The sequence below is a fragment of the Homo sapiens genome, chromosome 22, assembly GCF_000001405.40.
Source record: "Homo sapiens chromosome 22, GRCh38.p14 Primary Assembly".
NCBI lineage: Eukaryota > Metazoa > Chordata > Mammalia > Primates > Hominidae > Homo > Homo sapiens.
Window position 1 is genome coordinate 21,374,108 of NC_000022.11, and position 15,467 is coordinate 21,389,574.

At 55.9% G+C, this 15,467-nt stretch overlaps 1 protein-coding gene and 1 pseudogene across 1 annotated transcript; both read left to right on the forward strand.

Annotated features, from left to right (window-relative positions):
• The first annotated feature begins 9,643 nt into the window (after window positions 1–9,643).
• RIMBP3B (RIMS binding protein 3B) lies at window positions 9,644–15,371 on the forward strand. The gene has a single exon (NM_001128635.2). It carries the CDS (start codon window positions 9,752–9,754, stop codon window positions 14,669–14,671), a length of 4,920 nt encoding a protein of 1,639 aa, NP_001122107.1. The 5' UTR covers window positions 9,644–9,751; the 3' UTR covers window positions 14,672–15,371.
• Window positions 15,084–15,321, forward strand: RN7SKP63 (RN7SK pseudogene 63; annotated as a pseudogene).

Genomic DNA, 15,467 nt, shown 5'->3' on the forward strand with positions numbered 1-15,467 from the left:
GAGTATAGTGGTGTGATCATGGCTCAGTGCAGCCTCAACCTCCTGTACTCAAGTTATCCTCCCACTTCAGACTCTCAAGCAGCTAGAACTACAGGTGCACACCTCCATGCCTGGCTAATCTTTGGGAAAAAAATTTATAGAGACAGTTTGTCTCTATATTACCCAGGCTGGTCTGTAACTCATGGACTCAAGAAATTCTCCCACCTCAGCCTCCCAAAGTACTGGGATTACAGGTGTTAGCCACCACACCTAGCCTGGACCCTTTTGAGTGCAAAGGCAGCACCCAGCATCTCTGTGACTCCCCCAACAGCCCGCTGGGTCAGAACTGCTATCAACCCCATTTACAGAGGAAAAAACTGAGGCTCAAGCTGTTCCTCAGCTTCTCAGTCATCTGGCTGGTCAGAGGCTCAAGCCCAAGTCTGTTCTTGGACTGTGAGGGCCAGACCAAGTCCTGAGGGGGCTTAGATAACCTAAAGGACTCCCTCTTTCTTTCCTTTCTCCCTCCCACCTTCCTTCCTTTCTATCCTCCTTCTTCTCTCTTTTCCTTCCTTCTCCTTTCCACCTTCCTTCTACTCCATTCTCTGTGCTTAGTGAATGAAGAAATTAACACATTACTTGGCCCTTGTCCTCCCCTGTCTAGATTGCATGCTTAACAAACATTTGATGAAGGACTGTCCTCTGACCTAGAGCTATGGCCAAATGACAGAACAAATGGTCATTGCTACTCGTGCCTTTGGGAAGTGGGCAAAGCCTCAAGTTTCAGGCTGCAGAGGAAGGAGGGTGATTGAAATAGATCCAGCCCGGGAGCGGTGGCTCATGCCTGTAATCTCAGCACTTTGGGAGGCTGAGGTGGGCAGATCACCTGAGGTCAGGAGTTTGAGACCAGCCTGGCCAACGTGGTGAAACCTCGTCTCTGCTAAAAATACAAAAACTAGCCAGGCGTGGTGGCATGCGCCTGTAATCCCAGCTACTTGGGAGGCTGAGGCAGAAGAATCGCTTGAATCCAGGAGACAGAAGTTACAGTGAGCCAAGATTGCGCCACTGCACTCCAGCCTGGATGATAGAACGAGACTCCATCTCAAAAAAAAAAAAAATAGATCTAAAGGGAAGAGAAATGGAGATGCTACAAGACAGAAGATACGTCTGTCCTGGCAGCAGTGTGGAGCTGGGAAACAGAGACGCTGACAGCAGCAATGGGGATCTCAGGAAGCAGTGCCTGCTTGTTCAAAGGCTCAGGGATTACAGTAACACTCAGGCTGCCAGAGCCAGAGGGCAAGACCCTGCAAGCACCAGTTCAGAGCCCAGACTCAGGTCACACAGACCTGCCCATAAGTCCCTGTGTGACCCTGGACAGTTTCCTTCTCTGGAGAGGAGAGTGCCAGGCTCCCTGGCTATGGGGAGGATTCAGCGATGAGGCTTGTAAAGTGCAGATGGGAAGGGGCTGACCACTCGCTGCAGAGGCACATGAGCTAGGGAGCTGGGCCAGGGCCACCAGGGCAGGAAGCCAGCCCAGTAGGCCAGGGGGCCCCAGCCAGAGAGCTAGAAGCTCGCACCATACTGCCCTCCTGGCCCAGGAAGATGTGGACCAGCCAGGCAGGCTGCAGGGCCCAGGAAGAGCAGCACGGTCCCTCTCCAGGTATCCAGCCCCATCCAGTGCTGGGGGATGGAAGGAACTCCACTGGAACTCAGCGGGTTAGGGTCTGGCCAGGTAACCCTCCCTCTCTGAGCTCCAGTCCTCCCTGCACCCTCAAACGAGGGTCATGATAGGACGGGAAAATATCAGTGCAAGAAGGGATGTGAGTGCCCTGAGGGTGGTGGGCATGGGTGAGGGCTGGTACAGATAGCCAGACTGCAGGAGGCTGGGGGTTTGCAGCTCCAGTTCCCACTGCCTGAAATCGCCTCCCAGCTCCTCTGGCAGCCCTCACTCCCTCTCCTTCAGCTCTCAGCTCTTGTGTTTCCTCCTTGCCTCATGCAGGAAGCCTGCTCTGATGCGGCTCTTCTCCCCATGAGCACCACATTCCTCACCCAGAGCACTCGCCCAAGCGCCAATGTTACTACATTCCATTGTTGTTTGTATTTAACCTTTGCATTCTCCCCCAAACTGAGCCCTGAGGAACCCAGTTTGAAAACCATTCATGTAATCCATCACTTTCATTTATTGTTTGTTTGTTTGTTTGTTTGTTTATTTTGAGACAGAGTCTTGCTCTGTCACCCAGGCTGGAGTGCAGTGGCACAACCTCAGCTCACTGTAACCTCCACTTCCTAGGTTAAAGCAATTCTCCTGCCTCAGCCTCCCGAGTAGCTGGGATTACAGGCAACTGCCACCACGCCCGGCTAATTTTTGTGTTTTTTAGTAGAGATGGGGTTTCACCATGTTAGCCAGGCTGGTCTCAATCTCCTGATCTCAAGTGATCCACCCACCTTGGCCTCCCAAACTGCTGAGATTAGAGGCGTGGGCCACCATGTCCAGCTTCACTTTTATTTCATAGGTGAGAAAGCTGGACCGGGAGAGGGTAGGAGCTTGGTGAGCCCATGCTGGGACACCTGCCTCCCAGTCTGCAGCTCATTCTCATAGGTCATGGACTGTCAATTCCCTAAGGACAGCAGCCACATCTGGCCTGTCTGCCTCTGTCTTCTTCAGTCCTGTATTTACTGAGCACCTATCATGTGCCAGGCACTGTTCTAGACATGGAGGAGACAGCAAAGAACAGACAGAAAACACATAGAAACAAAAATAAAAAATATGTGGCTGGGTATGGTGGCTCATGCCTGTAATCCCATCCCTCTGGGAGGCTGAGGTGGGAGGATCACTCGAGATTAAGAGTTTGAGACCAGCCCAGGCAACATAGGGAGACCCTGTCTCTACAAAAAAAAAAAATTAAGTGTTTTTTGTTTGTTTTTTTTTTTGAGACAGAGTCTCACTTTGTCGCCAGGCTGGAGTGCAGTGGTGCTATCTTGGCTCACTGCAAGCTCTGCCTCCCGGGTTCACGCCATTCTCCTCCCTCAGCCTCCCAAGTAGCTGGGACTACAGGCGCCCGCCACCACGCCTGGCTATTTTTTGTATTTTTAGTAGAGACGGGGTTTCACCGTGTTAGCCAGGATGGTCTCGATCTCCTGACCTCGTGATCCGCCTGCCTCGGCCTCCCAAAGTGCTGGGATTACAGGCGTGAGCCACCGCGCCCGGCCAAAAATTAAGTTTTTAATAAATAAAAATAAAGGATATGGAATGAAAAGCTGGGGGAGCTACTGTAGCAATGGGGGATGGGAGGCTTAAACCCTCCTGCAGGCTCTCAGGATGGAGCCCATTCCCCTCCTCAAGGCCAGGCAGGCTCTACAAAGCTTGGGGCTTTGGTAGCCGAACAGAAATGGAGCCAGGCCATGCCGGCAGGAGAAGGATGTGAACCAGGTTGCCCAGGAACCCAGACTCCATGGCCCAAAAGTCATAGACTGGGGTTGTAGAGAGAGGGAAAGTGGAATACAGAGCTGGCGATGTGGAGCCAACTGAGATGTAAGGGGGACATATCGCCTTCTCTCCGGGTCAGGGAAGTCATTACGTACTGGGATGGGGTATGTGTGTGTCGTGTGTGTGTGAGCACACAATGGGCAAGAGGTCCTCTAACCCAGGGGTTCTCAAACTTGTTTCAAGGAGCATAATGCTTTATTAAACCAAAACCCTTCTTCGAATCTGATAAGTGACACTTAAGAGTAGATCTGCCGGCCGGGTGCTGTGGCTCACACCTGTAATCCCAGCACTTTGGAAGGCCGAAGAGGGTGGATCACGAGGTCAGGAGATCGAGACCATCTTGGCTGGCATGGTGAAACCCCATCTCTACTAAAAATACAAAAATTAGCCGGGCTCGGTGGCGGGCGCCTGTAGTCCCAGCTACTCGGGAGGCTGAGGCAGGAGAATGGCATAAACCCGTGAGGCGGAGGTTGCAGTGAGCCAAGATTGCACCACTGCACTCCAGCCTGGGTGACAGAGCGAGACTCCGTCTCAAAAAAAAAAAGAGTAGATCTGCCCATTGAAGCAAGTAGGGGCACTGTCTCTCCCCATCCGCTTCCTGCATACCTCCTCCCAAAAGGCCTATGGTATTTCTGTTTTATTTATTTTTATTATTATTATTGTTTTTATTTTGGGGGGTTGGGTTTTTGTTTTTTTGGTTGTTTGAAACAGGGTCTGGCTCTTTCGTCCAGGTGGAAGTGGAGTGGCACAATCTCAGTCCACTGTAACCTCTGCCTCCCAGGCTCAAGGTATCCTTCCATCTCAGCCTCCCAAATAGCTGGGACTACAGGCGTGCACCACCATGCCAGGCTAAATTTTGTAATTTTTTTATAGAGATGCAGCCTTGCCGTGTTGTCTAGGCTGGTCTTGAACTCCTGAGCTCAAGTGATCTGCCCGTCTCAGCCTCCCATAGTGGTGGGATTACAGGCATGAGCCGTCACATCTGGCCTGTTGTTAATTTTTTTTCTTTTTTTTTTGACTCAGACTCTCACTCTGTTGCCCAGGCTGGAGTACAATGGCGTGATCTCAGCTCACTGCAACCTCCACCTCCTGGGTTCAAGCAATTCTCCTGCCTCGGCCTCCCGAGTAGCTGGGATTACAGGCACTTGCCACCATGCCCAGCTAATTTTTGTATTTTTAGTAGAGACAGGGTTTCACCATGTTGGCCAGGCTGGTCTTGAACTCCTGATCTCAAGTGATCCACCCACCTTGGCCTCCTAAAGTGCTGGGATTACAGGCATGAGTCACGGCGCCCAGCCTACAAAAAAAAAAATTTTTTTTTTTTTTGAGATGGAGTCTTGCACTGTCACCCAGGCTAGAGTGCAATGGCATGATCTTGGCTCACTGCAACCTCTGCCTCGCGGGTTCAAGCGATTCTCCTGCCTCAGCCTCCCGAGAAGCTGAGTCTACAGGCGCCTGCCACCACACCCAGCTAATTTTTTGTATTTTTAGTAGAGATGGGGTTTCACTATATTGGTCAGGCTGGTCTTGAACTGCCCAAAGTGCTGGGATTACAGGCGTGAGCCACTGCGCCCAGCCAGCACAGGAGTTTTGACCTGCTCCTTTTCGTTTTCCTTTTTCTTTCTTTCTTTTTTTTTTTTTTTTGAGATGGAATCTCACTCTATCGCCCAGGCTGGAGTGCAGTGGTGCAATCTCAGCTTGCTGCAACCTCCACCTCCCAGATTCAAGCAATTCTCCTGCCTCAGCCTGCCGCGTAGCTGGGATTAGGCGTGCATGCGCCACAATGCCTAGCTAATTTTTGCATTTTTAGTAGAGACGGGTTTTCACCATGTTAGCCAGGCGGGTCCCGAACTCCTGACCTCAGGTGACCTGCCCACCTTGGCCTCCCAAAGTGCTGGGATTACAGGCATGAGCCACCGAGCCCGGCCAACCTGCTCCTTTTCTAACCTGGGCCAGTTCACCTCTCCTTAGACAAGCTGGTGGTTTCCTGCTCCCAGGAAGTCACCAATTTATGCCAAATTTAGTGCAGACACCCCATCAGTATAGTACATTACAATCCAGAAGTCCTGGATCCAAGCAAGCCTCCTGCCTCAGCCTCCCAAGTAGCTGGGAGTATAGGTGTGTGCCCAGCAGTTCTATATTTCCAAGGAACCCTGGAGCCCTAAAGAACCCAGTTTGAAACCACCACTTTCAGGCTGGGCATGGTGGCTCATGCCTGTAATCCCAGCACTTTGGGAGGCTGAGGCCTGTGGATCACTTGAGGTCAGGAGTTCAAGACCAGCCTGGCCAACATGGCGAAACCTCGTCTCTACTAAAACTATGAAAATCAGCTAGGCATGGTGGCAGGTGTTTGTAATCCCAGCTATTTGAGAGGCTGAGGCAGGAGAATCACGTGAACCCAGGAGGTGAAGATTGCAGTGAGCCGAGATCATGCCACTGCACTCCAGCGTGGGTGACAGAGTGAGACTCCATCTCAAAGAAAAAAAAAAGAAACCATCTCTTTCATTTAATAGGTGAGAAAGTTGAACCTGGAGAAGGCAGCAGCATGGTGAGCTCATGCAGGGACTCCTGCCTCCCTGCAACTCATTCTCATATGTCCTGGGCACCAGTGATGTGCTAAGTCACATGCAGGGATGCAATAGGGACAAGGGAAAACATGGCTTCTGCTCTCCCCAAGATCAGAGTTGATGGGGGTGACAGGCAGGTCACTGGACAATCACTGCACAACATGATGAGAACAGGGATGGCAGAAACCCAGCCCTGGGGAAGCCTGGCTTTGCTCATCCACTCAACCAACATTCCCGAATGCTTTTGACATACTTTGGGGCAGCTGCTGGATGGTAACTGTGGGGTTCCCAGAGACCCATCCACCCCAGTGTCCTTTTTCTTGGTGACAGCCTACTCTCTTTTTTTAATTTTAATTTTAATTTTTATTTTTGAGATGGAGTCTCGCTCTGTCGCCCAGGCTGGAGTGCAGTGGCGGGATCTCGGCCCACTGCAAGCTCCACCTCCTGAGTTCATGTCATTCTCCTGCCTCGGCCTCCCAAATAAGTGAGACTACAGGTGCCCGCCACCATGCCTGGCTAATGGCTAATTTTTTGTATTTTTAGTAGAGACGGGGTTTCACCATGTTAGCCAGGATGGACTCTACCTCCTGACCTCGTGATACGCCTGCCTTGGCCTCCCAAAATGCTGGGATTACAGGAGTGAGCCACCGCACCAGGCTTTTTTTTTTTTTTTTTTTTTTTTTGAGACAGTCTTGCTCTGTTGCCCAGGCTGGAGTGCAGTGGTGCCATCACAGCTCATTGCGACTTTGACCTCACCTTGCAGGCTCAAGCAATCATTTCATCTCAGCTGGAAATGCAGACTGGGTCTCGCTCACTCTGTTGCCCAGGCTAGTCTCAAACTCCCGGGCTTAAGTGACCCTCCCATCTCAGCCTCCTGGGTAGCTGGCACTACAGGCATGCACCAGCACGCCCAGCTAAAATTTTTTTTGTAGAGACAGGGTCTCTCTATGATGCTCAGGCAGGTCTTGAGTTCCTGGGCTCAAGTGATCCTCCCACCCTGGTCACCCAAAGGGCTGGGATTACAGGTCTGTGCCACCATGCCCGGCCCAGCCTGCCCTCCTGACCTGACAGTTGAGGCCCTACTGGAGACTGCAGCAGGGCATCCAGGCTGTGAAACCCCACCCACCAGCTCTGCCTCAGTTGCCCATGTGCCCTGGCAAGCCAGTGGCTCTCACTGAGCCTCAGGTTCTCTTCCGTAAAACAAGGCTGTGATGAAGATTCTCTCAAGATAGTCCTCCCTGTGGCTACCATGTCCAGGAGCCCAGCACCAGTTCAAGGCTAAGGCCATCCCTGCATCTCACCTCCCCTTCCTCTCACATACACACTACATCTGCCTCACCTCTCATAAAGAACATCTGGGCTGGGCACGGTGGCTCACGCCTGTAATCCCACCATTTTGGGAGGCCAAAGTGGGCGGATCACAAGGTCAGGAGATCGAAATCATCCTGGCCAACATGATGAAACCCTGTCTCTATTAAAAATACAAAAATTAGCTGGGCGTGGTGGCGCATGCCTGTAATCCCAGCTACTCAGGAGGCTGAGGCAGGAGAATCACTTGAACGAGGGAGTCGGAGGTTGCAGTGAGCCGAAATCGTGCCACTGCATGCCAGCCTGGTGACAGAGCAAAACTCTGTCTCAAAAATAAAATAAAATAAAATAAAATAAAATAAAATAAAATAAAGGGCCATGCGCGGTGGCTCACGCCTGTAATCCCAGCACTTTGTGAGGCCGAGGCGGGCAGATCACAGGGTCAGGAGATCAAGACCATCCTGGTTAACATGGTGAAACCCCATCTCTACTGAAAAATACAAAAAAAATTAGCCAGGCGTGGTGGCGGGCACCTGTAGTCCCAGCTACTTGAGAGGCTGAGGCAGGAGAATGGCGTGAACTCAGGAGGCGGAGCTTGCAGTGAGCAGAGATTGCGCCACTGCATTCCAGCCTGGGCGACAGAGCGAGACTCCATCTCAAAAAAAAAAAAAAAAAAAAAGAACATCTGGAGCCATAATTCCCGATGTTCTTGTTACTTGACACTGCCTAAAGGCATGTTCTGTGGGTTCCGGGGAAACTGATTTGAAAAACTTGAGTGTTGTAAAGGAGGGCCATAAGCTGAGTGAACACAGCAGTTGTGAGAGGTCCCAGGTGCTTCCTGGGGACAGGGAGACACGACAGACCAAGAAGCAAAGGGGCCTCTGATGTGACTTCAATATCAAGGTCTTGTCGGGCACAGTGGCTCATGCCTGTAATCGCAGCACTTTAAGAGGCCGAGGCGGGTGGATCACTTGAGGTCAGAAGTTCAAGACCATCCTGGCCAACATACTGAAACCCTGTCTCTACTAAAAAGTACAAAAAATTAGCTGGGCATGGTGGCTCAAGCCTGTAATCCCAGCTACTTGGGAGGCTGAGGCAGGAGAATCTCTTGAACGTGGAAGGTAGAGGTTGCAATGAGCCAAGATTGCGCCACTGCACTCCAGCCTGGCGACAGAGTGAGGCCCCATCTCAAAAAACAAAATCAATGTCTCAATGCAGACTGCCAGGTATCAGGTGTCCATCCATGTCTCCAAAAAGCCACTTGGCACCAGGAGCAGACAGGAAGGGCAAAGAGGAGCCAGACTGAAGCAGGGCTTCTTAGCTCCCAAGCCACACAGGTGGCCACCAGTCAGAGAGGCAGTGTGTGTGTGTGTGTGTGTGTGTGTGTGTGTGTGTGTATTTCTTCAGTTCAGTGTGTGTATGTATGTTTCTTCTGCAGCTCAGTGTATGTGTGTATTCCTTCAGCTCAGTATGTGTGTGTGTGTATGTTTCTTCTGCAGCTGTGTGTGTGTGTGTGTGTGTGTTTCTTCTGCAGCTCAGGATGCCTCCAACATTTCTGCTGAAGCCTCACCCTCACTCCTGGCCCATCCTGAGGCCTCTACCTAAGATGCCAATGAGTAGCCCAGACACTGGGGCTCCAGTGTTTGTCACCAGGTGGTACCTGGATGTGGGAGGTAGACAGGCCAGATGGCCAGTTTGGGCAGTGCCCCCATGCCTATCTGGCCCTGGGTCCCTATGCCACCTTGCTGGGGAGGGTCTTTTCGCTTACACCTCCTCTGAGCCGACTCTGCGCAGTAACACAAATGTGTATCAGGCACATCCTTTCCTCAAAAGGTGGATGACCAGTTGGGTGATCAGGGCTGTTAGGGGGCTGAAGGGTCCTGGGGAGTCCAGGTCTAGCCAAGTTGAGGCCTATCCTGCTGCATTTTCCAGCCACCTGACCCAAATACACCACCTGAACCCACGACCAGGTATGCCCACACCCCATGGGTGGCCTTAACACACACACCCTGCCCCTTTCTCCAAGTACAGGAGCAGCAGCCCAGACTTCCCTCGGGGCACCGCGGCCTGCTTGGGACTGCACAGTGCCTGGGAGGGTGCCTGGGGAGGGTCACAAGGGACTTGGTGCTAGTAGCAGGAAAAGTGTAGGGACCGGAAAAGCCCCCGTGCATCCTGGAAGGGACATGGGCCAGTTTGAGCAGGGGTGTGGGAGTCCAGCCCTGGCCTTGCCAGGTGGAGAGGCGCCTGGGCCAGACATCCGCGGCAGGAGGCGGGGGAACATGCCAAGAGGCGGAAGGGGCACGCGGAGACCCCCAGGGGGCGCCGGAAGGGGCGCGCCGGGCGGTCGGCGGCGGCCGTTGGCGAGCTGAGGCCTGCCAGGCGAAGTCTGGAGACCAGCCGGGCCGCGGCCGCAATGGCCAAGGACTCGCCCAGCCCCTTGGGCGCGTCGCCCAAGAAGCCGGGCTGCTCCAGCCCGGCGGCGGCAGTGCTGGAGAACCAGAGGCGGGAGCTGGAGAAGCTACGGGCGGAGCTGGAGGCGGAGCGGGCAGGCTGGCGGGCGGAACGGCGGCGCTTCGCTGCCCGGGAGCGCCAGCTGCGTGAGGAGGCCGAGCGGGAGCGGCGGCAGCTGGCTGACCGTCTGCGCTCCAAGTGGGAGGCACAGCGCAGCCGGGAGTTGCGGCAGCTGCAAGAGGAGATGCAGCGGGAACGCGAGGCCGAGATCCGGCAGCTGCTGCGCTGGAAGGAGGCCGAGCAGCGGCAGCTGCAGCAGCTGCTGCACCGGGAGCGCGATGGCGTGGTGCGCCAAGCCCGGGAGCTGCAGCGCCAGCTGGCCGAGGAGCTGGTGAACCGCGGCCACTGTAGCCGCCCGGGGGCGTCCGAGGTTTCCGCGGCGCAGTGCCGCTGTCGCCTGCAGGAAGTGTTGGCGCAGCTTCGCTGGCAGACTGACGGCGAGCAGGCGGCGCGCATCCGCTATCTGCAGGCGGCGCTGGAGGTGGAGCGCCAGCTCTTCCTCAAGTACATCCTGGCGCACTTCCGCGGGCACCCGGCTTTGTCGGGATCACCGGACCCCCAAGCTGTGCATTCCTTGGAAGAACCGCTGCCCCAGACCTCCAGCGGCTCTTGCCACGCCCCCAAACCCGCCTGCCAACTCGGATCTCTAGACAGCCTGAGTGCTGAAGTCGGTGTGCGCTCCCGCTCGCTAGGCCTGGTGTCCTCTGCGTGCTCCAGCTCCCCAGACGGCCTGCTCTCCACGCACGCCAGCTCCCTTGATTGCTTCGCACCTGCGTGTTCCCGCTCGCTTGACAGCACCCGGAGCCTCCCCAAGGCCTCCAAATCCGAGGAGCGGCCCTCCTCACCAGACACCTCCACCCCTGGCTCCCGGAGGCTCTCGCCGCCACCATCGCCACTCCCGCCGCCACCACCACCGTCAGCCCACAGGAAACTCAGCAACCCGCGGGGAGGAGAAGGCTCTGAGAGCCAGCCCTGCGAAGTCCTGACTCCCTCACCCCCGGGCCTGGGCCACCACGAGCTGATAAAGCTGAACTGGCTGCTGGCCAAGGCGTTGTGGGTGCTGGCGCGCCGCTGTTATACCCTGCAAGAGGAGAACAAGCAGCTGCGGCGTGCAGGCTGCCCCTACCAGGCAGACGAGAAGGTGAAGCGGCTCAAGGTAAAGCGCGCGGAGCTGACCGGGCTCGCGCGGCGCCTAGCTGACCGCGCCCGCGAGCTGCAGGAGACCAACCTCCGGGCCGTGAGCGCGCCTATACCCGGCGAGAGTTGCGCCGGCCTGGAGCTGTGCCAAGTCTTTGCCCGCCAGCGCGCTCGGGACCTGTCGGAGCAGGCGAGCGCGCCGCTGGCCAAGGACAAGCAGATCGAAGAGCTGCGGCAGGAGTGCCACCTCCTGCAGGCGCGTGTCGCCTCGGGTCCCTGCAGCGACCTGCATACTGGAAGGGGCGGCCCCTGCACCCAGTGGCTCAACGTCAGAGACTTAGACCGCCTGCAGCGCGAGTCCCAGCGGGAAGTGCTGCGCCTGCAGAGGCAGTTGATGCTTCAGCAGGGCAACGGTGGCGCTTGGCCCGAGGCGGGCGGCCAGAGCGCAACCTGCGAGGAGGTGCGACGGCAGATGCTGGCGCTGGAGCGCGAGCTGGACCAGCGGCGGCGCGAGTGCCAGGAGCTGGGCACGCAGGCGGCCCCGGCGCGGCGACGTGGCGAGGAGGCCGAGACACAGCTGCAGGCGGCGCTGCTCAAAAACGCCTGGCTGGCGGAGGAGAATGGGCGGCTGCAGGCCAAGACCGACTGGGTGCGGAAGGTGGAGGCTGAGAATAGCGAAGTGCGCGGCCACCTGGGCCGCGCGTGTCAAGAGCGCGATGCCTCCGGCTTGATCGCCGAACAGCTGCTGCAGCAGGCGGCGCGCGGGCAGGACAGGCAGCAGCAGCTGCAACGCGACCCGCAGAAGGCCCTGTGTGACCTCCATCCTTCCTGGAAGGAGATACAGGCGCTCCAGTGTCGGCCTGGTCACCCTCCTGAACAGCCCTGGGAGACCAGTCAAATGCCGGAGTCCCAAGTTAAAGGTAGCAGAAGGCCCAAGTTCCACGCACGGCCTGAAGACTACGCAGTGTCACAGCCCAACAGAGACATACAGGAGAAAAGGGAAGCCTCCCTCGAGGAGAGCCCAGTTGCCCTTGGGGAGTCAGCCAGTGTCCCCCAAGTTTCAGAGACAGTCCCTGCCAGCCAACCTCTGTCCAAGAAAACCAGCTCCCAGTCAAACTCCTCCTCTGAGGGGTCGATGTGGGCCACCGTGCCGTCCTCCCCTACTCTGGACAGGGACACAGCCAGTGAGGTGGATGACCTGGAGCCTGACAGCGTGTCCCTGGCCCTGGAAATGGGGGGCTCGGCGGCTCCTGCTGCCCCCAAGCTCAAGATCTTCATGGCTCAGTATAACTACAACCCATTTGAGGGGCCCAATGATCACCCTGAGGGTGAGCTGCCCCTCACAGCTGGGGACTACATATATATCTTCGGGGACATGGATGAGGATGGCTTCTATGAGGGGGAGCTTGACGATGGCCGGCGGGGGCTGGTGCCCTCCAACTTCGTGGAGCAGATTCCGGACAGCTACATCCCAGGCTGCCTGCCTGCCAAATCCCCTGATCTTGGCCCCAGTCAACTCCCAGCGGGGCAGGATGAAGCTCTGGAGGAAGACAGCTTATTATCTGGGAAAGCCCAGGGAATGGTGGACAGAGGGCTGTGCCAGATGGTCAGGGTGGGCTCCAAGACAGAAGTAGCAACAGAGATCCTGGATACCAAGACGGAAGCCTGCCAGCTGGGCTTGCTGCAGAGCATGGGGAAGCAGGGCCTCTCCAGACCCCTTCTGGGGACCAAAGGGGTGCTCCGTATGGCTCCCATGCAGCTACACCTGCAGAATGTCACAGCCACATCAGCCAACATCACCTGGGTCTACAGCAGCCACCGCCACCCCCATGTGGTATATCTTGATGACCGAGAGCATGCCCTGACCCCAGCGGGCGTGAGCTGCTACACCTTCCAGGGCCTGTGCCCCGGCACGCACTACCGGGTGCGGGTGGAGGTGCGGCTGCCATGGGACTTGCTGCAGGTGTATTGGGGAACTATGTCCTCCACCGTCACCTTCGACACACTCTTGGCAGGACCTCCCTACCCACCGCTGGAGGTGCTGGTGGAGCGCCATGCCTCGCCAGGTGTCCTGGTGGTCAGCTGGCTCCCTGTGACCATTGACTCAGCTGGGTCCTCCAATGGAGTCCAGGTCACCGGTTATGCTGTGTATGCAGATGGGCTTAAGGTTTGTGAGGTCGCCGATGCCACTGCTGGGAGCACCGTATTGGAATTCTCCCAGCTACAGGTGCCCCTCACGTGGCAGAAGGTCTCAGTGAGAACCATGTCACTCTGTGGTGAGTCCCTGGATTCAGTGCCTGCTCAGATCCCCGAGGACTTCTTCATGTGTCACCGATGGCCAGAGACTCCACCCTTTAGCTACACTTGTGGCGACCCATCCACCTACAGAGTCACCTTCCCCGTCTGCCCCCAGAAGCTGTCACTGGCTCCTCCGAGTGCCAAGGCCAGCCCCCACAACCCTGGAAGCTGCGGGGAGCCCCAGGCCAAGTTCCTAGAAGCATTCTTTGAAGAACCCCCAAGGAGGCAATCCCCAGTGTCCAACCTGGGCTCAGAAGGAGAATGTCCGAGTTCAGGGGCTGGCAGCCAAGCCCAGGAGCTTGCAGAGGCCTGGGAGGGCTGTAGAAAGGACCTGCTCTTTCAGAAGAGTCCCCAGAACCACAGGCCACCTTCAGTCAGTGACCAGCCTGGGGAGAAGGAAAATTGCTACCAGCACATGGGCACCAGCAAAAGCCCTGCTCCAGGATTCATCCATCTACGCACCGAGTGTGGGCCCAGGAAAGAACCGTGTCAGGAAAAGGCTGCCCTTGAGAGGGTACTTCGGCAAAAGCAAGATGCCCAAGGGTTCACACCTCCCCAGCTGGGCGCCAGCCAACAGTATGCATCTGACTTCCATAACGTTTTGAAGGAGGAGCAGGAGGCACTGTGCTTGGATCTGCGGGGCACAGAGAGGCGAGAGGAGAGGAGGGAGCCTGAGCCCCACAGCAGGCAAGGACAAGCTCTGGGGGTGAAGAGAGGGTGCCAGCTCCATGAGCCCAGCTCGGCACTGTGTCCAGCTCCATCCGCCAAAGTCATCAAGATGCCCAGGGGTGGCCCCCAACAGCTGGGGACGGGGGCCAACACTCCAGCCAGGGTCTTTGTGGCCCTCTCTGATTACAACCCCCTGGTGATGTCTGCCAACCTCAAGGCTGCAGAGGAGGAGCTGGTCTTCCAGAAAAGGCAGTTGCTAAGAGTGTGGGGCTCTCAGGACACCCATGATTTCTACCTCAGCGAGTGCAACAGGCAAGTGGGCAATATCCCCGGGCGCCTAGTGGCTGAGATGGAGGTGGGGACAGAGCAGACTGATAGGAGGTGGCGTTCTCCGGCCCAAGGGCACCTGCCTTCTGTGGCCCACCTCGAGGACTTTCAGGGGCTCACCATCCCCCAGGGTTCCTCCCTGGTGCTCCAGGGGAACTCCAAGAGACTCCCACTGTGGACTCCAAAGATCATGATAGCAGCTCTGGACTATGATCCTGGGGATGGGCAAATGGGGGGCCAGGGGAAGGGCAGGCTGGCGCTGAGGGCAGGAGACGTGGTCATGGTTTACGGGCCCATGGATGACCAAGGATTCTATTATGGAGAGTTGGGCGGCCACAGGGGCCTGGTTCCTGCCCACCTGCTGGATCACATGTCCCTCCATGGACACTGAGCAAGCATCCTTGCCCAGGTAGTGGCCTCTGGCTGCTCACACCCTGCCAGAGGAGAAGCAAGCGTTCAGACCCTCACACCAGCACCCCTCCTCACCACCATAAGTAGCATGTGCTCCAAGTGCCACTGTGTTAAACTGATGGTAGTCCTTAAGCGTCCCCTAGGCTCTGAAAGTAGCAGGACTTAAGCCTGAGTTATTTGCAAAAGCAAACACAACAAGCCAACCCCTGAGAGTCTGAGAAGCCATTTCAAAGTTGCTGATAACTATGGCAGGTATACGGAGAAGCGCCTTTTTCTGTGGCCAATGTGTGTTTTCTCTGGGAGGTTAAGGTTATCTGTCCATTGCCTTGTACGAAAGTCTCAAGAAAAGTCTACATCTTAAAAAAGAAAAAGCAATCTGAGTGTTATTTTTGGGATGTGAGGGTGATCTGGCTGCGACATGTGTCACCCCATTGATCATCAGGGTTGATTCGGCTGATCTGGCTGACTAGGCGGGTATCCCCTTCCTCCCTCACCACTCCATGTGCGTCCCTCCAGAAGCTGTGTGCTCAATGGAAGAGGATGACCATCCCCGATAGAGGACGATCGGTCTTCAGTCAAGAGTATAAGAGTAGCTGCGCTCCCCTGCTAGAACCTCCAAACGAGCTCTCAGAATGTTATTTTTCTGTCTTATGTCCAACCCCTCATTAAAATGTTCATAGAAAAAACATATTTTAGAAGTTGAAGCACAACCAAGGAAACATGAGCCTGGCTTTCCTCCCTCTCACTTCTGCGCACTGGGTCCGCAAGGGCTACAG